The 24167-nt window shown below is 40.0% G+C and overlaps 1 protein-coding gene across 3 annotated transcripts in view, besides 4 other annotated features; it reads right to left on the bottom strand.

Moving 5' to 3' along the window:
• CBFA2T2 (CBFA2/RUNX1 partner transcriptional co-repressor 2) overlaps positions 1–24167 on the bottom strand; it is a 159935-nt gene that overhangs the window by 56607 nt on the left and 79161 nt on the right. The window contains exon 2 of one of the 3 annotated variants that reach the window (NM_005093.4): positions 19163–19450. The exons of the other annotated variants lie outside the window; for them this stretch is intronic. Coding sequence (NP_005084.1) covers positions 19163–19223 — 61 coding nt within the window. The 5' untranslated portion in view covers positions 19224–19450. The remainder of the gene's footprint in view (positions 1–19162; positions 19451–24167) is intronic. 3 annotated transcript variants of the gene reach the window in all.
• Positions 5498–5997: an enhancer, noted in NCBI's record as "H3K4me1 hESC enhancer chr20:32175233-32175732 (GRCh37/hg19 assembly coordinates)". NCBI's record gives its function as "activates a minimal SCP1, AML or CMV promoter by ChIP-STARR-seq in primed H9 embryonic stem cells {active_cell/tissue: H9 hESC(primed)}" and the evidence as "EXISTENCE:reporter gene assay evidence [ECO:0000049][PMID:30033119]".
• Positions 10272–10855: an enhancer, noted in NCBI's record as "H3K27ac-H3K4me1 hESC enhancer chr20:32170375-32170958 (GRCh37/hg19 assembly coordinates)". NCBI's record gives its function as "activates a minimal SCP1, AML or CMV promoter by ChIP-STARR-seq in primed H9 embryonic stem cells {active_cell/tissue: H9 hESC(primed)}" and the evidence as "EXISTENCE:reporter gene assay evidence [ECO:0000049][PMID:30033119]".
• Positions 10856–11440: an enhancer, noted in NCBI's record as "H3K27ac-H3K4me1 hESC enhancer chr20:32169790-32170374 (GRCh37/hg19 assembly coordinates)". NCBI's record gives its function as "activates a minimal SCP1, AML or CMV promoter by ChIP-STARR-seq in primed H9 embryonic stem cells {active_cell/tissue: H9 hESC(primed)}" and the evidence as "EXISTENCE:reporter gene assay evidence [ECO:0000049][PMID:30033119]".
• Positions 11678–12177: an enhancer, noted in NCBI's record as "H3K4me1 hESC enhancer chr20:32169053-32169552 (GRCh37/hg19 assembly coordinates)". NCBI's record gives its function as "activates a minimal SCP1, AML or CMV promoter by ChIP-STARR-seq in primed H9 embryonic stem cells {active_cell/tissue: H9 hESC(primed)}" and the evidence as "EXISTENCE:reporter gene assay evidence [ECO:0000049][PMID:30033119]".

Raw genomic sequence — 24167 nt, 5'->3', positions numbered from 1 at the left:
ACTCTGTCTCAAAAAAAAAAAAAAAAAAAAAATCCAGTCAAGAGATTTGCAAATCAGTTTATTATGTAATAGGTTTTTTTTGTTTTTTGTTTTTGAGACGGAATCTCACTGTCGCCCAGGTTGGGGTGCAGTGGCACAATCTCGGCTCACTGCAACCTTTGCCTCCTGGGTTCAAGCAATTCTCCTGCCTCAGCCTCCTGAGTAGCTGGGATTACAGGCACATGCCACCAAGCTCAGCTAATTTTTGCATTTTTAGTAGTGATGGGGTTTCACCTTGTTGGCCAGGCTGGTCTCCAACTCCTGGCCTCAAGTGATCTGCCTGCCTTGGCCTCCCACAACTATTAGGATTACAGGCATGAGCCAGGGTGCCTGGTCATAATTTTTCAATGTGAAAGAAAAACAGCTCTGTGTGTATGGGGGAGGATGGATCTAGATAAATATAGCTTCTTTACAATGGAAAAGCCTAGGTAGAGAGTTAATATAAACAAAATAATGTCTCCATTAGTCTACAATTTTAAGATGTAGATATTCAGCTTCTTTATAGAGGTTAATGGAGTCATGATATATAAGACATTATTCTGTCTTCCTTATATGCACTACAACTCATTAATAGTTCATGTATTTTTGAGGGGTTTTTTTAAGTGGCAGTGACCCATTCATATAACTCCATCTTCATACTTACTTAGTCTCCCTAGTGTCAAGTAATGTTGCATGAATTTTGTATTTTTTTTCTCGAAGACACTAGGTCTGGCTTTGTTACCAAGGCTGACCTCAAACTCTTGGGCTCAAGTGATCCTCAGCCTCCCAAGTAACTGGGACTACAGGGATGTGCTACAATGCCTGGCGATGTTGCATGAATTTTTAGGACTAACTGAATAGTCTGTGGCCTAGAATTAGAGTAAATGTAACCTTTTTACAACTGTGCTTTTATAATATCATGCATTAACAGAACTACATAGCATAATTTTATATATATATTTACATAATTATATATAATTTTTACATAATTATATATATAATTTTTACATAATTATATATATATATATATAAAATTTTTTTTGAGACAGAGTTTTGTTCTTGTCACCCAGGCTGGAGTGCAGTGACATGATCTTGGCTCACTGCAACCTCCGCCTCCCAGGTTCCAGCAATTCTCCTGCCTCAGCCTCCACAGTAGCTGGGATTACAGACGCGTGCCACGATGCCTGGCTAATTTTTGTATTTTCAGTAGAGATGGGGTTTCCCCATGTTGGTCAGGCTGGTCTCAAACTCCTGATATCACGTGATCCGCCCACCTCAGCCTCCCAAAGTGCTGAGATAACAGGCATGAGCCACTGGGCCCGGCCTATGTCGTTTTTTTCATGTTCATCAACTAACACTTGTTATCAATCCACTACTCTTGTTTGCTGTGCCCTAGGCATGGTGACAGACAATGAAAACAGAAGCAACATGTTGGACCAAGTGTGTTGGGGAAGATTTAAATATATCTAGAGATTCTGGAGCGTTTTTGGAAATGGAGACAGCATGAACACAGAATGACCATGACTTACAGGAGGCCCCCCCCTCCCACCCCGCCACAATTGGGATGTAGAATTGTTCATGAGAATGGACTTGGGAAAGTATCAGATTTTAGCAACCTGAAGACTACGAAGACCAGTCTGAGGAGCAAAAGAGAGCAGAGAATGTCTCTGTCTCAAAGAAAACTATTAAACTTTAATGTGCTATTAACTTTTGCATTTTAATTATATTCTATTAAGTAAAAATAAGTTTGTCCAATGAAATGGTATATGTGCCCAGTCCCGTCTTTCAAGTAGTAAGGTAACCACAAAGCCAATTGTGAGTTCAAACCATTCTTTTTAATTACATTGCCATCCTCAGTTAACTTGGATGTGACAAATATTTTTCTTTTCTTTTTGTACATATTTATTCATCATTTTTTTCTTTTTTTTTTTTTTTTTTGAGATTTACTCTGTTGCTCAGGCTGGAGTGCAGTAGTGGGATCTCGGCTCACTTCAACCTCGGCCTCCCGGGTTCAAGCAATTCTTGTGTCTCAGCCTCCCCAGTAGCTGGGACTACAGCAGGGACTACTACTTTTTTCTATTTTAAGTAGAAATGGGTTTTCACCATGTTGGCCAGGCTGGTCTCGAACTTCCGGCCTCAAGTGATCCACCTGTCTTGGGCTCCCAAAGCACTGGAATTATAGGTGTGAGCCACCATGCCCAGCTATTCATCAGTACTTTTTTTTTTGAGAGGGAGTTTCACTCTTGTTGCCCAGGCTGGAGTGCAATGGTGTGATCTCGGCTCACTGCAACTTCTGCCTCCCGGGTTCAAGTGATTCTCCTGCCTCAGCCTCCCAAGTAGCTGGAATTAACAGATGCCTGCCACCACACCCGGCAAATTTTTATTTTCTTTTTAGTAGAGATGGGGTTTCACCATGTTGGCCAGGCTGGTCTCAAACTTCTGGTCTCAAGTGATCTGCCTGCCTCGGCCTCCCAAAGTGCTCGGATTACAAGCGAGAGCCACTGCACCTGCCCTCATCAATCTTTAAAAGAGCCTGGGTTCCACCTGGCTCCATGTACCTTAATATTTGAAAAACCGAGTTTTTAATATTCCCCCAGCGCAAAGAAAGGCCCAGTCAGCCCATCAGCTTTTGTTTTGAGATGGAGAACCACAAAAATCAAAACTGCATGCTCAGGAGTAGCACGAAGCAAAGATTTAGCTTTCTTTATGGGAAGCCACAGGACAATATCCATGACTGGCTGACACCTAGGTTCTGTGAAGGAACTTCTAGCACCCAGGGCTTTACCTTGCTGCAGAGATGGAATATGCCACTGCCAGATAAATGAGAAGATCTTGGCACTCACCATCAGTTGGTAAGAGTTCTTCTGGGGTCCTACCACTCTCAAATATTTGAAGAAAACAATCTTATTGTGCCCAATCAAAGAAGAAGTATATTCCTGGGGCATGCGCATAGCCTTTGTGGGGGCCAAGAAAAAAAAACAAAGCTAGATGTGTTTAACGCAATCTGGTTTCTAAGAGTTGCCGCTAATTAAGCCCTCTGTTTGGGCCAACAGGTACTTAAAAAAAATTACCTTAGGGTTTGATGGTTTCTTTTAACTATTTTCTGGAAGCTGTTTGTGCACAGGAAAAAAGGATTGCAGATTTTTTTTTTTTTTTTGTAAAAAAAGATGAGACAGCATCGTCCAAGCTGGAAGAGCAGTCACATAACCTAGGCTCACTGCAGCCTGAACCTCCTGGGTTCAAGAGATCCTCCCACCTCAGCCTCCCAAGTAGCTGGAACTATAGGTGCATGCCAACATGTCCAGCTAATTTTTCTATTTTTTTTTTTAGAGACAGGGTCTCACTAGCTGGTCTCAAACTCCTGGCCTCAAGTGATCCTGCCACCTTGGCCTCACAAAGCACTGAGATTACAGGCGTGAGCCACCATGCCAGACCCCAAGGTTCAAACAGTACTAAGGAAAGGAATGTAAACAAGCTCATTAATAATTTTATAATGATTATATATTGAAATTTCTTAGTATATTAAACATATTATCAAAAGGAATGTCACCTGTTTCTTTTTTAAAAAATAAGGTTACAAGAATATTTAAAATTACATATGTGGCCTCTATTTGTTGCTTACATTATATTTCAATTGAACAGCTCTGGTGTGGGTATGAGGCAGTGGCTGGATTCAGACAGATCAGGATTGAAATTGAGGCTCTGTTAGCTCTCTGATAGTGGGGATATTTCCTCCTCAAAGTCTGTTTCCTTGTTTACAGCAATCATTCAATATTGCCCAGCTGCCAGAGTTGCTGTTTACAATCAAATGAAATAAAAAGAGAACAACCTATAGTACAGACCCATGACAAAGAAACGAATTCATCTTTACTCGTTTCCAGAGAAATCTGGACAACTATGACCTCACACTGTTCAGGCTGAGAAATTAAGAATTGAGTTTGGGTTTATTCTTATTTTTTTGAAAGTAAACAAAATAAAGGTAACTCTCTTAACTGATCATTTTGTGGGCCTAAATCATTGAGGACTATTAAGATGCATATACAAATGGAGTGCTTTATTACAATGCATTGGGGGTAAGGGACTACCAAACATCTCCACAACAGATAAAGACAAAGGGAGATGTCCCCTCTGCAACTGGCTGCTCTCTGTGCCTGGCTGGACTTCTAGTGTTTGATTTTCAACCCTGAAGCTCCATGCCAGAGGCATTCATTTGTGCATCTCCCACAGCTCCAACTGTCCTCTGCTGTTCTTCACCACTTTTATGTTGCAGCTCTAGTTTAAGCCACATTTTGCATGTATAACCTTGAAGTTTCTACTTACCACAAACTTGCTTTTTACTTGTTTTTATTAGAAATAGGTCTTCAGCTTAATCAAATGCATTTTTTTAGGGGAAGGGATGTATTTATGGAAATGGGTTTTTTTTCCTCCTTTCAGCTTCTTGTTTTTATTTTTATTTTTATTTTTGAGGGGAAGTCTCACTCTGTCCTCCAGGCTGGAGTGCAGTGGCGCGATCATGGCTCACTGCAACCTCTGCCTCCTGGATTCAAGTGATTCTCCTGCCTCAGAGAGTAACTGGCATTACAGGCACTTGCCACCATGCCTGGCTAATTTTTGCATTTTTACTAGAGACGGGGTTTCATCATGTTGGTCAAGCTGGTCTCGAACTCTTGACCTCAAGTGATACACCTGGCTCAGCTTCCCAAAGTGCTGGGATTACAGGCGTGAGCCACCATGCCCAGCCCTTTTCAGCTTCTTAATGTTGAACTATCCTTGCCATTGTGTGATCAACCTTACTTGGTTAGGGTGTACTGCTCTTAATTATAGTGTTGTTCTTTAAAGTAATCTAAGGAATAAAGGAAAATATAATGTAGCATAAATCTTTCAAACAGGCCAAAAATAAAGGTAAAAGAAAGAAATACATATCACGAGCTGAATGGCCATGGTACTTTTGTGGTTAACATATATATTATATTAATATATGCTACATTAACATATATATTTGTTCATTATTCATTTGTTGATCTATATATATTTATATATATATATTTCTTCATTTGCACCTGTTTCTATTCTATTTATAAAAAATAGTTTAAAATGTTCACTTTTTCTTCTGCAAGTTCATCATTTTAATTAACACTTCAACAAAGTTAAAACAAAGACTAACAATACTTTAAAATAGCTACATACCATACACAAAAAATAATAATAAAGGGGTCAAGAGGAAACTTTTGTGTTGATGGCTTCACAGGGGTGTACTTATTCCCAAATGCATGGAGGTGTATATGTTAAATATGTACAGCTTTTTAACATGTCAATCATACCTCAGTAATGTTATTTAAGAAAAATCAACAAAAAGTAATAGTTCTCTCAGTCTATAGTTCTACATAAAGTTGGAGGTTTTGATCTTCCCTTTCAATGGGAGGATTCAATGATTCATTCTAAATTCTTGACTTTATCACTATCAAAATTTTCTAATGCAATTTCAACTACTTGAATGAAACAAATGGTCCAGATGTGAACATCTGACTCTCATTTTCCTTGGGACAGAAATCATGAGTTGAGATTAATGGCTTTAAATGCCAAAACAGCCCAGACATAACAAGTTAAAAGGAAATACATGTGAAATAATTCAATTTTTGTCTTGGAAGCATACAACCTCTTTTCCACATAGGTCCAGTTAAGAAAATATAATTAAAACTGGGTACGGGGCTGGACGCAGTGGCTCATGCCTGTAATCCCAGCACTTTGGGAGGCTGAGGCAGGCGGATCATGAGGTCAGGAGATTGAGACCATCCTGGCCAACATGGTGAAACCCTGTCTCTACTAAAAGTACAAAAATTGGCCAGACGCGGTGGCTCACGCCTGTAATCCCAGCCCTTTGGGAGGCCAAGGGGGGCGGATCACGAGGTCAGAAGATCAAGACCATCCTGGCTAACACGGTGAAAGCCTGTCTCTACCAAAAACATGAAAAATTAGCCGGGCGTTGTGGCAGGCGCCTGTAGTCCCAGCTACTCGGGAGGCTGAGGCAGGAGAATCACTTGAACCCAGGAGGCACAGGTTGCAGTGAGCCGAGATCGTGCCACTGCACTCCAGCCTGGCGACAGAGCAGGACTCCATCTCAAAACAAAACAAAACAAAACAAAACAAAAAAATAAAAAACAAACCTGGGTGCCGTGGCTCACGCCTGTAATCCCAGCACTTTGGGAGGCCAAGGCAGGAGGATTGCCTGAGCTCAGGAGTTTGAGAACAGCCTGGACAACATAGGGAGACCTCGTCTCTAAAAAAGATGCCATCGAATTCGCCAGGCATGGTGGGGGGTGCCTGTAGTCCCAGCTACTCGGGAAGTTTAGGTTGCAGAATCACTGGAGCCTGGGTGGTTGTGGCTGCAGTGAGCCGTGATCACACTATTGCACTCCAGCCTGGGTGACAGAGTAAGACCCTAACTCAAAAATAAAATTAAATAAGATAAAATAAAATAAATAGTGAAGTTCAGAGTTAGGTAGAGACAATTCTATGAAACTCTCCAATATATTTTGAGAAAGCTATCACTCAAGTTCATAGCTTCCAAACTATGACAATTCTGAATTTCTGTGCTTTAATTATGAACCTTCAAGGAAAAGAGAAATTAAGGGTCAAAATACATACCTCTGTGGAATTACAGGACTTTTCCCTAATTCAGAGCCTTCTATCTATACTTTCCAAACACGTCACCTTGGCCCTTTATGCTTTAACCAAGAAGTATTTTTGATTATATAGAATCTCTTGACTTTGAAGCAATCTTAAAATTTTTATCTATTTTGAACTCACAGCCAATGCAAAAATCTGCTATAGAATATAAATGGCTCACATACAACCAGGTTCTGCTTAAAACCTCAGAGAAAGATAGAATGAGATCAAGAGCATTGTTTTGGCAATAATATCAACAGGAACCTCAGTTTTCCTATGTCTATAACCGAGATAACAATGATAATAGGCTGGGCGCGGTGGCTCACCCCTGTAATCCCAGCACTTTGGGAGGCTGAGGCGAGCGGATCATGAGGTCAGGAGTTAAGACCAGCCTGAACAACACAGTGAAACCCCGTCCCTGTAGTCCCAGCTACTCAGGAGGCTGAGGCACAAGAATCACTTGAACCTGGGAGGCAGAGGTTGCAATGAGCTGATATTGTGCCACTGCACTCCAGCCTGGGTGACAGAGGAAGACTCCGTCTCAAAAAACAAAACAAACAAAAAAACAAACAAGAAAACCCAGTGATAATAATGATAATAATCACAATATTGATCAGATCACATCTGCACTGGCAGTCCTTTTGCATACTGTAAATTACCATAACACATTAATTAGCTACCTTTTTAGAGACAGATATATGCAAAGAAGGTAGAAGAATAAAACCTAGAATTCAGCAACAAACATGAGAAATAATCACTATTTTTCTTCTACAGTTAAGCTTTGCTTCAAAAGTTAACTTTCAATTTACCACGGCTAAGGTTTTAATATAAATTTCCCCACATTTCCTCAACCATCACTCTGCCATAGTTCTAGATTGCTCTGCCAAAGCATAACAAAATGGGATGGTGAATTTTGAGAGAAAATAATTATGTATTTCCAGTTAAGACTATAATGCTTTCTAGATTATCTACATGCTTGTTCGCTTCCATTAGTTCCAGTATCCAATTACTAATGTACTAGGTACAAAAAGCACAGAAATAAATGTATTTCAAGGTACCAACATTCAATTAGTGAGGTTAAAAAATAATTTCTCTGCTAGAAAAATGTTCATAATGTTTGACTGTGTGACCTCACTCCTGGAAATCTGTCCTTAAGAAAACAGCTCAAGGGAAAAAGCAATTTATACCACAAGAGAATGGTTAATTAAACGGTGGAACAGCATGTCAATGTGAACTGTAAAGGCATTAAAAATTGTAATTATGAAGGATCATTCATTCAACACTTGGCGAAATGCATATAATACAACGCTGTATGGGGGGACCTTCCTATATATATGTAGTATGATTACAATTATTTATTAAAAAATAGACACATGCTCACGGTATTCAAAGAACATGACAATGGAACTGATGACACGATGGGGATAAGAGGTAAATACCAATTTCCTTGAATCATTTTGAAACATTGCTTATAAAATATTTTCATTTGCTTTTTGACTAAATTTGCTTTTCTCCAGAAGAATTATTAGACACCTACTTGAATGCCACGCATTCCTAACATGTTAGTCTTTCTTCACACACAGGCAGCATGATCTAGCTATAGGGACCTCATTTTCAAAACCAAAATTTTAACAGGTAGTTTGGGTTGAGGGAACAACAGGACAGGGTATTTAAAATACCCTGCAAGCATGACAGAAAAAAAACAAGGTTTGAGGTCAGAAGCCCTAAACCCCAGCCCTTCTCCATCTGAGCTGCAGAGATGAATGGAAACATGCTCCCAAATTAGACCAAATGCCCTGGGTTACAATCTCAGCAACTTGGTAATATGATAAAAGGCATCTAAGTTACCCTGTCAAAATCCCACTGGTAGTTTAAAGGATATCATGTTTTGGTATATAGTAAATGCTTAAACACACCAAAACAGTGGCTCAAGCTCTATAAAATAAGCAATTAAGTCTGCCTCTGTCTCCAACCTGTTCTGTAATCAGGAAATGATGCTAGTAATCCTGTTCTAAACTGCACACCATTTTACAAAATATATTATGGTTATAATTGCCATCATGACCACCATCATCTATATTATTATTGCTATTACTTCTACTAAGAAGCCAGCTAAAGAAGCTGACTAGAGCTTACCTGATGGGCTGAGGGAAAAATCTTAAACTCTTAAAAATGTCACTTAAGGCCGGGCGCGGTGGCTCACGCCTGTAATCTCAGCACTTTGGGAGGCCGAGACGGGCAGTTCAGGAGGTCAGGAGATTGAGACCATCCTGGCAAACACATGGTGAAACCCCGTCTCTACTAAAAATACCAAAAAAATTAGCCAGGCGCCTGTAGTCCCACCTACTTGGGAGGCTGAGGTAGGAGAATGGTGTGAACCTGGGAGGTGGAGCTTGCAGTGAGCCAAGATCGCATCACTGTATTCCAGCCTGGGCGACAGAGTGAGACTCTGTCTCAAAAAAAAAAAAAGAAAAAAAAAAGTCACTTAATCTGGCCAGCATGGTGGCTCACGCCTGTAATCCCAGCACTTTGGGAGGCTGAGGCAAGTGGATCACCTGAGGTCAGGAGTTCAAGACCAGCCTGGACAACATGGCAAAACCTCATCTCTACTAAAAATACAAAAAGTTAGCTGAGTGTAGTGGCAGGCACCTGTAGTCCCAGCTACTCAGGAGGCTGAGGAAGGAGAATCACTTGAACCTGGGAGGCAGAGGTCTCAGTGAGCCAAGATCATACCACCGCACTCCAGCCTAGGGAACAAAGCAAGATTCTGTCTCAAATAAATAAATAAACAAACAAACAAACAAACAAATAAATAAATAAATAAATAAAATCACTTAAACCAAATGACAATGGTGAAGGTATGCAATCAAGAAGGAAAAATACACAGCAAGTTCACAGTGTGGCATGGTTGGTATGAGAAGGGGTACAGGAAAGTGCTTACAGGATTTTGAGACACTTGGCCTCCCAGAGGACAGTCAAGTACTGAGGATGAATGCATAATATAACAGCACACCCTGTAGACAGCATCTGTCTAATGAAATGGTTACTAAATGCAGTGCTGGTAGACTTGGGTCACCATCTAAATCCAAACAAGTTGACTTAAGAACTTAAATATATCCAATTCAACAAATAATTCATTTTCAATTATATGTAATTATCCGTTTTTGGAAACAAGATAATTTTTTAAAATTTTACTAAATTATTTAATTTAAAGGGAAAAAAAGCCCCAAAACTTCATCATACATTATATTCAAATTACTGGTTCATAAAAATCATTTCATCTCCCCAAATAAGGTTAACGATTAGTCAAAGAACTTTAAACTATAAAGTCATATACTCAGTCTACCCAGATAAAGAAAATGAAATCCAGGCAAGGTTATGGCTTGGGACTTGGCCTTTGGCCCTGGGAAAAGGTCAATTATCATGTACCTACAACTTTGTAGTAATGACTACTAAAACAACTGATTTTTCAGTTGATTTTTCAAATCGATACAATAGTGTTCTTGTACAAAGGATAGTTAGATGGTAACACAATCTAATGGAAACAATGGCATGTGATATTAATAAAAACAATGCACATTCTGGGTCTACTTCTCCACTGAAATAATGACAGATAAATATATAGCAACACAGAAAAGGTCTTGATATAATGTAAAAGGAAAGAGCTGGATATAATGTATACTCACGAAAATAAAATGGAAAGAGTATGCACATGTATAAGAAAAAACTAGAAGGGAATATGGGGAAAGAAAGAAGTTGTTTAATAAAAGGTAGTGCTGTCTTTCCTCTTTTTTTTTTTTTAGACTGTCTTGCTCTGTCATCCAGGCTGGAGTGCAGTGGTGCGATCTTCGTTCACTGCAACATCCACCTCCTGGGTTCAAGTGATTCTCCTGCCTCAGGCTCCTGAGTAGCTGGGATTACAGGCACGTGCTACCACACCTGGCTAATGTTTGTATTTTTAGTAGAGATGGGGTTTTGCCATGTTGGCCAGGCTAGTCTCGAATTCCTGACCTCAAGTGATCCGCCTGCCTTGGCTTCCCAAAATGCTGGGATTACAGGTGTGAGTCACCGCACCCGGCATAGTAGAGATGGGGTTTTGCCATGCTGGCCAAGCTGGTCTTGAACTCCTGGCCTCAAGTGATCTTCCTGCCTCAGCCTCCCAAAGTGCTGGGATTACAGGTGTACGCCACCGCGCCCGGCCTGTGCTGTCATTCCTAATGCAAGAAGTTACCTTGCTGATTCATTTTTTTTGAGATAGAGTTTCGCTCTTGTTGCCCAGGCTGGAGTGCAATGGCGTGGTCTCGGCTCACTGCAACCTCTGCCTCCCAGGTTCAAGTGATTATCCTGCCTCAGCCTCCCAAGTAGCTGGGATTACAGGAATGTGCCACCACACCCAGCTAATTTTGTATTTTTAGTAGAGATGGGGTCTCACCATGTTGGCCAGGCTGGTCTCGCCTGACCTCAGACGATCCACCCACCTCAGCCTCCCAAAGTGCTGAGATTACAGGCGTGAGCCACCGCGCCCGGCTGCTGATTCATTTGATCAACATCATCAAAAGGCTAACATGACCCAAGCACTGTACTAAGTGTTTGGGACACAAACTTGAAGCTGATATTCCAACCTTCAAGGAGTTCATGATGTAGCTGGGCAATAAGGGTTCAAGGAAGGTACATCTCAAGTAGACTGGGACAAAAAAGGGAAGATTTAGCTGAATCTTATAAGTACAATCAAATCACAGATGATTATTACATCATCTCAGATTCTGTTTGGGGTCATGCCCACCACTGAAAATCAGCCGAAAACTAAGATTCCTTTCCACTAATGAAGAGTTTATCCACACACACTTATGTTTCTGCCAGCAGTGCCCACATACAGGTCCCAGCTTAGCTCCAGAGACTTCAGTCAGCCCATCTTCCTATTATAACATACCTCTTAGTTCACTGATTTGCAAATTCTAAGGCTAACTTTTCATTCTGGGTTTGAGAATAGGGAACAGATGGCCTACACAGCATAGAATCTCTCACAAGAACTAATTTTTACCAATCACATGTGGTTAAAATCCAGATTTATACCTACAGATTAGTGAGCAACAGAAACCCTTATAATGACATGACAATTATTCAGTGTGACAGCTGTTGATACCATTGCCAAATGTGAGTTTTAAAACATAGGCTAACACCTCTGGTTCCCCAGGATTCAAACAAAACAAAACAACAACAAAGACGACAAACACACAGACACACACACACACACACACAAAGAACAAAAAACAAAAAACCTTGAGTTACAGTACAAATCACAGGTATGAAACAACTTGTTTCAAAGAAGTTTAAAAGATGAGTAATCTTTAGAAATTAGGTTAACAAAGAAAATGACAGACATGGCTGGGCCTGGTGGCTCATGCCTGTCATTCCAGCACTTTGGGAGGCCAAGGCAGGTGGATCACAAGATCATGAGTTTGAGACCCACCTGATCAACATGGTGAAACCCCATCTCTACTAAAAATACAAAAATTAGCCAGGTGTGGTGGCGTGTGCCTGTAATCCCAGCAGGAGGCTGAGGCAGGAGAATCACTTGAACATGGGAGGTGGAGGTTTCAGTGCACCGAGATCACGCCACTGCACTCCAGCCTGGGTGACAGAGTGAAACTCTGTCTCAAGACAGGAAAGAAAGAAGGAAAGAAGGAGGGACGGGATGGATGGACAGGACGGGGAGGGGAGGGCAAGGGAGGGGAAGGGAGGGCAGACATATATACTCATTCCAATACTCATGCTATGGCTTCAGGAAACATTTTCATTCAAAAACAAACAGCAATGTTATCTGTATACTGCACATACATCCTACCCAAATGGAGTCTGCCTTTTTAAAAATAAATAAATAAATAAAAGACAGGGGCTCATTCCATTACCCAGGCTGGAATACAGTGGTGTGATCTCTGCTCACTGCAGTCTCAACCTCTTGGGCTCAGGGTGATTCTCCCACCTTGGCCTCCTAGGTAGCCTGGGACTACAGGCACATACCACCACGCCTGGCTAATTTTTTGTGTATTTTGTAGAGACAGGGTATTGCCACACTGCACAGGCTGGTCTCGAATTGCTGGACCCAAGTGATCTGCCCACCTGGGCCTCCCAAAGTGCTGAATTATAGGCATGAACCACCGTGCCTGGCCCCTATCAAATTGTGATGCTGCTATCAGCTGCTGCGTAATGAAGAATATAAAAAAATTTCTGTTCACATCACAAGGCCTGAAATGCATCATTTGTCTATTTTTGTTTCAGAAGAGGCCAATTTCGGCCTCTTAGGTTGTAAGCCTCTGGAGAGTTGGGGCCACGTTCATCTTGATCACCACCATATTCCAAGTGCCAAGTCCAGTGGCCAGAACATAGTACATAGTACATACTGGCTTTATTTAGTAAAGTTTATTAAGTAAAACCAACTATTAGATATTTCTTACTGCGTTACACAGAATGACTATGTTTTGATAATAATAGGCTACCAACGTTAAAATACAGTTAGGACTTAAAATTTAAAAATTTACACGCCTAAAATGTATATTCCCAATTTTGTAAAAGTTTTTAAAATTCAAGAATATCTCTGCATTAGATTAAAAAAAGAAAAAAGAGGCCAGGCGCAGTGGCTCACACCCATAATCCTAGCACTTTGGGAGGCCGAGGCGGATGGATCACCTAAGGTCAGGAGTTCGAGACCAGCCTGACCAACATGGAGAAACCCCGTCTCTACTAAAAAAAATACAAAATTAGTCAGACATGGTGGTGCATGCCTCTAATCCCAGCTATGCAGGAAGCTGAGGCAGGAGAATTGCTTGAACATGGGAGGCAGAGGTTGCGGTGAGCCGAGACCGTGCCATTGCACTCCAGCCTGGGCAACAAGAGAGAAACTCCGTCTCAAAAAAAAAAAAAAGAGAGAGAGAGAGAGAGACACCAAGATGTACCAAGATGTCTGTATAATATGTTCAGGACACCAAAGAGCTAAAGCAATCTCAAAAAAGAAGGACAGGGTTGGAGGACGAACCACCAAACACAAAGTGAGTTTCAATAAAGGTGTCAACTCAACTCAATGGGGAAAGAAAAGTCTATTTAGCAAATATTGCTGGAACTCGATGTCCAAATAGATACAAATTAACCTCAATCCTCTCTCACTCCATACAAAAAAAAAAAAAAAAAGATTCGTGATGGGTTGTAAAATAATACCCCGGACCATAAAATTTCTACAAAAAGAATAGGAGAATATCCTTATGACCTGGTGGTAAGCAAAAAAGCACAAACCATAAAATTTTTAAGACTGCTAAGTTAGACTTCACGAAAATTAAAGTTTTCTGCCCATCAAAAGACACCATTAAGAAAATGAACAGGCTGGGTGCAGTGGCTTACGTATGTATTCCCAATGCTTTGGGAGGCTGAGACTGGAGGACTGCTTGAGCCCAGAAGTTTGAGACCAGCCTGGGCAATACAGTGAGACCCCATCGCTAAATTTTAAAAAAAATTGAATAAAAATTTAAAAATTAAAAACATGAATAGACCAGGCATGGTGGTTTATGTCTGTAATCACAGCACTCCAGCCTGGGCGACAGAAGGAGACGCTTTCCTTAAAAAAAAAAAAAAACAAAAAAAAACCCCCAAAAAAACCAAAAAGGCACTCATTGGGTTGAACACTTAGTATCTGTGCATGTTTATTATATATTTTAAAAATCATTGCATAAGGATTCCACCACCCATTCCACTGCTCCCCTCTAAGAATAGATCCTACATGTACATGTTACGGCATCTTCTTAACATGTAGACATCACTCAGGCTATTTCTTTACACCAGGTCTTTGTACAATAGCTTATGAAAGGGTCTTTTTAAAGACTGTGTAGAGCCAGTTTATGCCATCCTTCAGATTTCCTGCAGTATTTCATCCTGAAGGCTGAGCTTGATAATCGGACCAGCACTCTTGCATCCTGACTGACCAGCATTCACTTCTAATCAATAACAGATGTGGGAATGGTGCCAGAGTGGGCCTTATGCCAAAGTAACAATTTTTCTCCTATTCAAGAGAAAATACCCTTCTTAAGCTCCCAAGTCATCCAAACAGAGAGAATGACATCTGGAAATACACTGCCATGTCATGTGGTTGGCCCCTTTGGATGATAGCTGTATGCACCACAAGCAGAGGGCTGTTGTGCTAGCCTTGTGGGACACCTCAGAGTATGGCAACTCTACAACCTTATGACAGGGAGAAAGTGCTAAAAGCTCTAAGAGAAAAATAGTAGCAAATGGGTACAAACATAAGTTTACTTAAGAAAATTCCCTTCATTATGGTTCTTTCTACAAATCAATTGAAATCATCTTCTCATTTCCACATTAAACTTTAGGCCCAAATTCTCTATTTGCTCACAGCCTTAACTTCTCAACTCCTTACCATTTTGGGGGGATCTATTTTTAAAAACCAAGGAAACTAATACTCAATGTAAATTAATTCAATCATATATAAATTGCCCTAGAAAAAATTTTAGAGGTGGAAAAATTTTAATTAGGTGTACCAATACTAAAGTAGTCAGCTGTAAAGGAAAAAATAAATATGAATATTAACAATTGATATTTTGATGTTATTTGTGACCAACTGACCACAAAGGAAAGCTGATTTAAAAGCCTTTCTTCAGATGCCCAGGAACACCGTACACACCTTCTCAATCCACACTGATAATGAAGCAAGTTTCATATTTACCCAAGATTTGAGTAGGACAAGACTTTCTTGCTGGGAAGGATAAATACAAGTCAGGAAATAACTATAATAGTAATAGCTACCATTACTCTCCATCTTCATATATTCATTTAGAAATAACAAAATATTTATTACACGCAAAGAATGGTGCTAAAATATTTTCTTATTTAAATGACACTAAGACAGTAGAAGGTACCATCTCCAATACCACTTTATTTAACCAGAAGCTAAGGCTCAGAGAAGTCAAAAATTATGTCCCAAGTCATATGGCTAAGAAATGGCAGCTCTGCTGAGCTCCAGAGACCATACTATAGCAAAATAAATAATGCAAAAAGAATTAATTATTGTAGGACTCAATGAAGTTTGCACATTGTGACCAAGAATTTAATAAAACACATTGATTACAGTTCAGAGAGACTTCACATTCTACTATATAGTTCCTGTCTTTCTTCACAAATATATGAACGTAAATACACAGTCTACAGCTGAAGCACACCCTGGACAAGTTAGAAAATTGAAGCATAGAAGCTGTTATGTAGGAGCCCATTTAAGTCCCCAAATGACAATCAGAGAGGCTTCTGACAAAAAGCCCCACTGTCAAATACATGGGCTTAAGGAGTGGCAATGGGGTGCCTTAAGGAGTAAGAACAAATAAGCCAAGATTTCAAAGATGTTGGCTCCACACCAAGATCACCCTTCTCTTCTTGGTATACCTCCTCAAAATCAACAATCCAGAAAGTTTTTATCCATCAATATTTTTAAAAATCCAGGTATATTAGAAAAATGGATAAATACTTAGTATAGGCACAAGTCTAAAATGATCAACAGCCATCACTGCTTACTGAAATGATTATTTAACAATGACACTCTGAAAGATAACCAGGTACTCTACTGTGTTTTCCAAATAGACTGAAAGATGGAGGCAGAACAAAATCAGCTAGAAAAACAATTTCTTTGGCAAACATTTCAGTGACACAATCAGCACCCTCTCAATTCATCTATTATGGAGTGCTCCATCTTTTTTTGGCATTGAACTAAAATTAGGACAGGGAAGATGGACTAAATATGGCAATAAATAAACAGAGAAAAGTAGCAGCTATAAGATCTCATAGACCACTCCACCCAGTACAGAATAAAACTCCCAGAGATGGAGCACACTTATACACTTGGAACGGTTTAACTCATATTCTTCCAAACTCTGTGATTCTTCACAAGTGTGAGCAGAAATACGGATGTGCTGTAGCAAAAATGTACAGCTGCAGCCTGCAGATGTCGAGCTGTTAGCTCTGTGATCAGCAGCCATGCTGTCTGCCTTGCTGGCGCCCTCCTGGTGGCTGCCTCAGTCAGCACTCTGGGCTGTGCCCAGAAAATTGGGAGAGGTTATTCCTGTTGGGCAGCACCCTTTGCAATCAAGAGATGAAAAAAAGACCTTCTTATCTGGGAAATGAAATGCTGATATGATGGTGATGTCTCAGTTTTCTCCTCTATAAAAATAAAAACACTACCAGCTGGCTTTTATTTCCTATCCCTGAGGGGCTGTTATTTGGATAAAAAGCTTTGAAAATTAAAAGCACCATGCAAATATAAGGCTATAGTATAGTGGAGACTGAATCCAAACAACATAAATGGAAGGTAGATGGGCACTCTGGCAGGGCAAGTATCCATGTCTGCCATCAGAGCAAACTCCTAAGTTCCAGTATCTACTTTTATATTAAGATGAGACCTCTGCTAGATATTAAGGAGGCAGAAAGCCTATAAAACAGGTTGTGCTCTCCACCTGCAATGCCCTGCTTTCCCTGTCTCTGGCACTTTAGAAACTCCTACTTTAAGGTCTAACTCCAAGTCCTCCCTGGTAGACTCAAGTGCACCTTGACAGAAATAAAACCTCCCACATTTGGACTCTTACAGCTTCTTATAAACACCTCTTAGGCCAGGCGCGGTGGCTCACGCCTGTAATCCCAACACTTTGGGAGGCCAAGGTGGGCGGATCACGAGATCAGGAGATCGAGGCCATCCTGGCTAACATGGTGAAACCCCGTCTCTACTAAAAATACATTAAAAAAAAAAAAATTAGCCAGGCGTGGTGGCTGGCGCCTGTAGTCCCAGCTACTCGGGAGGCTGAGGCAGGAGAGTGGTGTGAACCCGGGAGGTGGAGCTTGCAGTGAGCTGAGATCGCGCCACTGCACTCCAGCCTGGGCGACAGACTGAGACTCTGTCTCAAAAAATAAAAATAAAAATAAACACCTCTGTGATGTCATTTGTCATATTGTGCCACAGGTGATTTGTTTCTGTGCCTGTCTGTCTGTGAGTTCCTTGAGCTCTTCACTCTTATAACCATAGTTCCTAGTATAACACCCGATAATTTGGTGAGATTTAGGCTTCTAGCGAAAAAGGAAAAAAAAAACCCTATTAAGAAAGACTCTATAACTCTTTCCTAATTCCTCTTAACTAACTGCAATACAGTACAGAAAGGTTTCTATATCTTTTCTATTAAGACAGAACTTCCCAAGCTGTGTGCCAGGGACCAACGCCAGAGAGTTATGAAGAATGATTATCAGTTTACTGAGATAATGATTTCCTCAGCCTGGGACAGCCAATCAGAACTTAATACTTTCTATGTATGCTATGATGTGAAAAGAGGTTGGGAAGCATTACATAAATGTGAAGATTTAATCTTTTAAAATATTAAACTAATTTTAAACAGCAGGGTAAAGCATTCACAAATTGTGACATTAATTAAGGCATCAAGAAAAACCATAATGACTAGAAATAATTGCTTCACCTACTGTTGACTAGAAAATAAGTGTTTCAGAACACTGGCATCAGATACAACAGCATATCCTGAAAGAAAAATAACACAGCTACCTCGCATAGCAGTCAGTCTGCGCAAACAACCATATGGTTTGCTAATTTAATCAACAATCCCCAAATTTACTTTTTCATCCTGCAGATAAAATGAAAATGAAGTTGCTAGAAATATTTTAGAAATTATTTTGCCACTCCAAATGTTTAATACAATACATACAGTACCAAAGCCTATTCATCCAGGCTCCCTTTAAAAGCACAAAAACGCTTTATCAGCCACATTTTTTAAAAGCATAAAAAACATTGATCAGTTTAATCTTTTCATTTTAAATCTGTTTTAAGACCAATCATTCTTCACACCACACAACCAAAATTCAAACCCTTTGCCCTTCTCCATTCCACCTACAAGAGACAAAGCTTAGACCTTCCCCATCTCTTGACTAGATTGATCATACTCATCTCAAAATACCCCCATGAAATTCTTCTTTTGCCCAGAAGCCTCCATCTCAAAATGCCAATGAAGTCAGGCTTCCCTGCTTAAAAAGAAAACAACTTTTTATAAGAGTTTTTGTTTGTTTGTTTTTTTGAGATGGAGTTTCACTCGTTTCCCAGGCTGGAGTGCAATGGCACAATCTCGGCTCACTGCAACCTCTGCCTCCCGGGTTCAAGCCATTCTCCTGCCTCAGCCACCCGAGTAGCTGGGATTACAGGCATGTGCCACCACGCCTGGCTAATTCTGTATTTTTAGTAGAGACGGGGTTTCTCCATGTTGGTCAGGCTGGTCTGGAACTCCCAACCTCAGGTGATCCACCCGCCTTGGCCTCCCAAAGTGCTGGGATTACAGGCGTGAGCCACCATGCCTGGCCTTTAAAGCAAATTGTTTCTAGGGAAGAGTATATTTCTGTTATTAAATTAGTCCTCTATTAGAAATGAATGTTTCACACATACCTTTCCATTGCCTTGCCAGGACCTGTATTTCTTTCAAGCTTATTCCAGATTCTTTAGCCATTCACCTGGTGATCTGCTTATGTTCCAAAAGATGAATGCAACATCACAGGTACAGTCAGGATTGTGCTCCACAAAAACTACCATCCTCAATCTTCATCATAATATCTAGACAGGAACTGGTATGGTGGCTCTTGCCTGTAATCCCAGCACTTTGGGCAGCCAACATGGGAAGATCGCTTTAGCCCAGGAGTTTGAGACCCACCTGGGCAACATGGCAAAACCCCACCTCTACAAAAAAAAAAAAATAAGAAAAATTAGCCAGGTATGGTGGCAAATGCCTCTAGTCCTAGCTATTCGGGAGGCTGAGGTGGGACAACTACCTGAGCCCATGAAGTCAAGGCTGCAGTGAGCCATGATGGCACCACTGCACTCCAGCCTGGGTGAAGAGTTAAGACCCTGTGTCAAAATAATAATAATAATAGGGCCGGGTGTGGTGGCTCAAGCCTGTAATCCTAGCACTTTGGGAGGCTGAGGTGGGCGGATCACGAGGTCAGGAGTTCGAGGCCAGCCTGGCAAATATGGTAAAACCCTATCTCTATTAAAAATATAAAAATTAGCCAGGCATGGTAGTGCACGCCTGTAGTCCCAGCCACTTGGGAGGCTGAGGCAGTAGAATTGCTTGAACCCAGGAGGCAGAGGTTGCAGTGAGCTAAGATCACGCCACTGCACTTCAGCCTGGGCGATAGAGCGAGACTCCATCTCAAAAGAAAAAAAAAAAGAAGAAGAAGAAGAAGTAGTACTCAAAAACTGAGAAACAATGTGTCACATACAGTACTGAACACTTACATCCATCATCTCTTTGCATTCTTAAAATAATCACCTTTCAGTGAGGATCCTCCTTGACTACCCTCCTCAAACTAACCTGGATCTCCTTAAACCCTTTCCCTTTCTCCTTAGCGCTTTCATTTTTTGTAACATTAAAAAACATCCTAAATATACATAAACATACATTTTAGGCTACATATATATTACTTATTAATCATCTTTACTGCCTGTCTCTTCTACTAGAATTTAATCTCCATGAGGGCAGGGGCTTTGCTTTACTCATTGATGTAACTCCAATACCTAGAATAATGCCTAGCACACAGTAGGCACCTAAATATTCAAATGAATGGATGAATAATAAGGAAGACAGATTTGACAATTATTTGAAAACACCCCTCTCCCTCTCAACATTCAATCTATCAACAAGTTCAGAAAACTTAACTTCCTCTAAAATATAACAAATCATCTGTCCTCTACTATATTCACTGCCATAAAGCTGGGCCAAACTTGTCACTTTTCACTTCTGGTCTTGCTGCTTCCAGCCATGCCCTATAAAATTCTTTCTCTATATGACAGGAAGAATGATCTTTATACAATATAAATCAGATCACATTACTGCCCCAACTATTCAATGGTTACCCATCACTCAGAATGAAATCCAAATTCATTGGATTACAAAGCTTTATGCTGGCTTTAAAAGCTCTACATGAACTTCTGTCTCCTGTCTCTCTACCCTCTTCTCTTCGTCCACTACATTATATCTACATCGGCCATTTTTCTATTCTTTGAACATACTGAGTTCATTCCCATCATTGAGCCTTTGCACTGGAATATTCTTATCACTGACATCCACCGACTATTTCATTATTGTTATTCAGCACACAGCTCAATTTACTTCTTCAGAGAGTCCTAAATTAACACTTAATTTCATATACATATTTTTTTGTTAATGGGCTCAGTACTTTCTTTTATTCAAATTTAGAAACATTTTTATTTGCAAGACTATTCAAATAATTCTGTTAATATCATTTAGCTAAATTCACCAATTAATTCATCCATTTATAAAAATCACTTTCTTTTTCTCTATCTACCTATATTTTTATCTAAACCACTTGAGAGCAAGCTGGAAACATTACACTCCCTTATGCTTAAATATTTCAGTGTGTAAATGCTAAGAGTTAGGATGTTTACTTATAAGCCCAGTATAATTACCAAAATTATTAACATTAATACCCTACCACCATCTTTACAGATATTATTCTAAAATTTATGAGGGACTTCCTCATATAAACAAGGTTGGCAGATCACCTGAAGTCAGGAGTTCAAGACCAGCCTGGCCAACATGGCAAAACCCCGTCTCTAGTAACAATGCAAAAATTAGCCAGGCCCGTGGTGGCAGGCGCCTGTAGTCCCAGCTACTCTGGAGGCTGAGGCAGCAGAATCGTTTGAACCTGGGAGGCGGAGGTTATGGTGAGCCGGGATTGTGCCACTGCACTCCAGCCTGGGCGACAGAGCGAGACTCCATCTCAAAAACCAAACAAACCAAACAAACAAACAAAACACAAGAAAAGAAATCACCACTCCCAAGTGCTAATGGAAAATAACTGTCAACCTTTACACTCTAACCACATTTAACTATCATTCAAGTAAAGGTGAAATAAAGATATCTTCAGATCAGCAAAAAGAGTGTACTACTTACAGATTCTCCAAGAATTATTAACAGATACACTTGGCAGGAATGAATTATTAACCTAGAAGGAAAATTGTGATAAATATGCAAAGTGACCAGATAATTCAATAAATATATTGGTAAATCGAAATTAATAGCTTTAAAAATAATGGTAACTATTATTTTGGCTGGGAGTGTAACAAACAAAATGGAAACAAAATCCTAGACAGCGGTAATATATTGAAAAAGTTACTGAATTTGAAGTGTTCTAAGACTTCTGTACTTAAAGAAAAAAATGGATATATGAATTGACATTAGATTTTATGTCAAGTACACATTAAAATTTTAAAAGTAATCATCAAAATAAGGAAAACGAAACATCTATCTTTAAACTCACCCACTATTTTCACTTATTCAATTAAGAGTATCTATTGATTTGTGCGTACAAAATGTGAGAAAATAGAATAAAGTAGTACATTAAAATGAAACAAACCAAAAAAGTTGAAGAGCCTTAAACATTTTTACTGAAGTGTTTGAAACTGACTCCAAAAAACAACATAATTACCAAGACAAATCACCAATTCTCTGTCCCCCCTCCAGACCCACTTAAAAAGATTTGTTGTTAGAGATGGTTCCCTTGGATGGAAAGGCAGGGAAACACTTCAATTCATTCTCCAAGATAAAGATGGAAGTTAACATTTCTAGAAGGTCAGTCACACACACACCAAGTCTGTTGTCCTCCCTTACTTTAGACATGAAGAACAGAGCCAGGACTGGGGAAAGGTAAGTGAGAAGCCTGGGGCCCCGACAAAGCACTTGTGGTTATTTGCCATGCTTCTCTACTTGGGGAGACAGAAGCACAGTTTGCTTGTGGAAACCTCAGTTCACATTCACAGTGCAAGAAAACTTATTTCCAGTTTCATTGTGGCATTAGCCCTAGGAATGAGAGAGGACAACTTAATAAAATTAAAACAGATGAAAAGAAAATGAGTCTCACATTAGACTGCAAACTCCTTTTACTATTTAACTTTGTTTCTCAGTATGTACAATGACAGAATGAAAGAATCAGTAAGGCCACAGAAGGAAACCCCCATTCTTCCTAAGTACCAGAAAGAAGGGTTAACAGCACATGTACTCACCTCAAGACGACAATATCTATAGCAATACTGATCAACATTCCCAACATGTACTAGCTCCAAACTTCAAATCAAAGTACACTTAATTTGGAGTCAGAGAAGGCTCTGTTTCAAATCTCAACTCTTCCCCTTTACTGACTTCCCTACCTTTCAATTTCTCCACTGCTTAAAACGAAGGAGCAGATTAAAAAGCTCTGAAAAAAACTCTTCAAATACTACAACTCCTAACCTATTCTAAATATAATCACATTGCTCTACCTAGAGGCTTGCCTTCATAGGAGCTGTCACGTAAAATGTTGGCTGCCAGGGGCTTTTCAAATTCTAGTATCTTTTTTTGTTTGTTTGTTTTTGAGATGGAGTCTCGCTCTTGTCACCCAGGCTGGAGTGCAGTGGCATGATCTCGGCTCCCTGCAAACTCTGCCTCCTGGGTTCAAGTGATTCTCCTGCCTCAGCCTCCCCAGTAGCTGGGATTACAGGCATGTGCCACCACACCTGGCTAGTTTCTTTGTATTTTTAGTAAAGATGGGGCTTCACCATTTTGGATAGGCTAGTCTCCAACTCCTGACTTCAGGTGATCGCCCGCCTTGGCCTCCCAAACTGCTGGGATTACAGGTCTGGCCATGTTGCCCAGGCTTGTCTTGAATGACTGGGCTCAAGTAATCCTCTTGCCTCAGGCTTCTGAGTACCTGAGACAAGAGGCACACACCATAGGGCCTGGCTTTAGTACCTTTTTAAACTCCAAAATAAATAGAATATAAAGAAAGAAAGCCAAAAAGACATTTCTTCCAACAGAAATGGCCCTATGTTCCTTATGATAAAAGCTCTATGCAGCTAAGCTTAAAACATTGAAATTGTTACTTTAAATTTTCCAAATTATTAAATAATTTAATTTAAAATGCTGTAAACTCAAGATTTTACTTTAAAACTGGGTTACACTGCTAAACTCTCAACAGGCAAAAGTCAATGACCTCCCCCTTGATTTCCTGGGCTATTGACTTGTAAAGGCTACCAGAATACCCTTCACTGACAGGGCAGTGACTTTGTCAAGGTCACAATACAATTCATCAGGAGTCAATAACAACTTTGGATTGTCCTTGAAATTCTATCTAGAGTTTGAAGCTGAGAACTTATTACCTGTTTGAGATTACAATCTTGATTTAGAACAATAACCAAAGTGGAACACTTAAGTTTGTTTACTGATGAAGGAAGAAAGAAGTCTAAAACATCGACCTTCTCATTGTGGTATTTATTCTAATGAGTAAACTAGAACAATTATTTGTGTAAACACAGAGAACAAACAACAAAATAATGCAAAATTAAAGCATTTAACAATGACTGCATGTTGTTTTCTCCCACAAAACATATTATCCTTTTA

The sequence above is a fragment of the Homo sapiens genome, chromosome 20, assembly GCF_000001405.40.
Source record: "Homo sapiens chromosome 20, GRCh38.p14 Primary Assembly".
Classification (NCBI taxonomy): Eukaryota; Metazoa; Chordata; class Mammalia; order Primates; family Hominidae; genus Homo; species Homo sapiens.
Note: the sequence above shows the minus strand (reverse complement) of the source record. Positions and strands in the feature narration are given on the sequence as shown.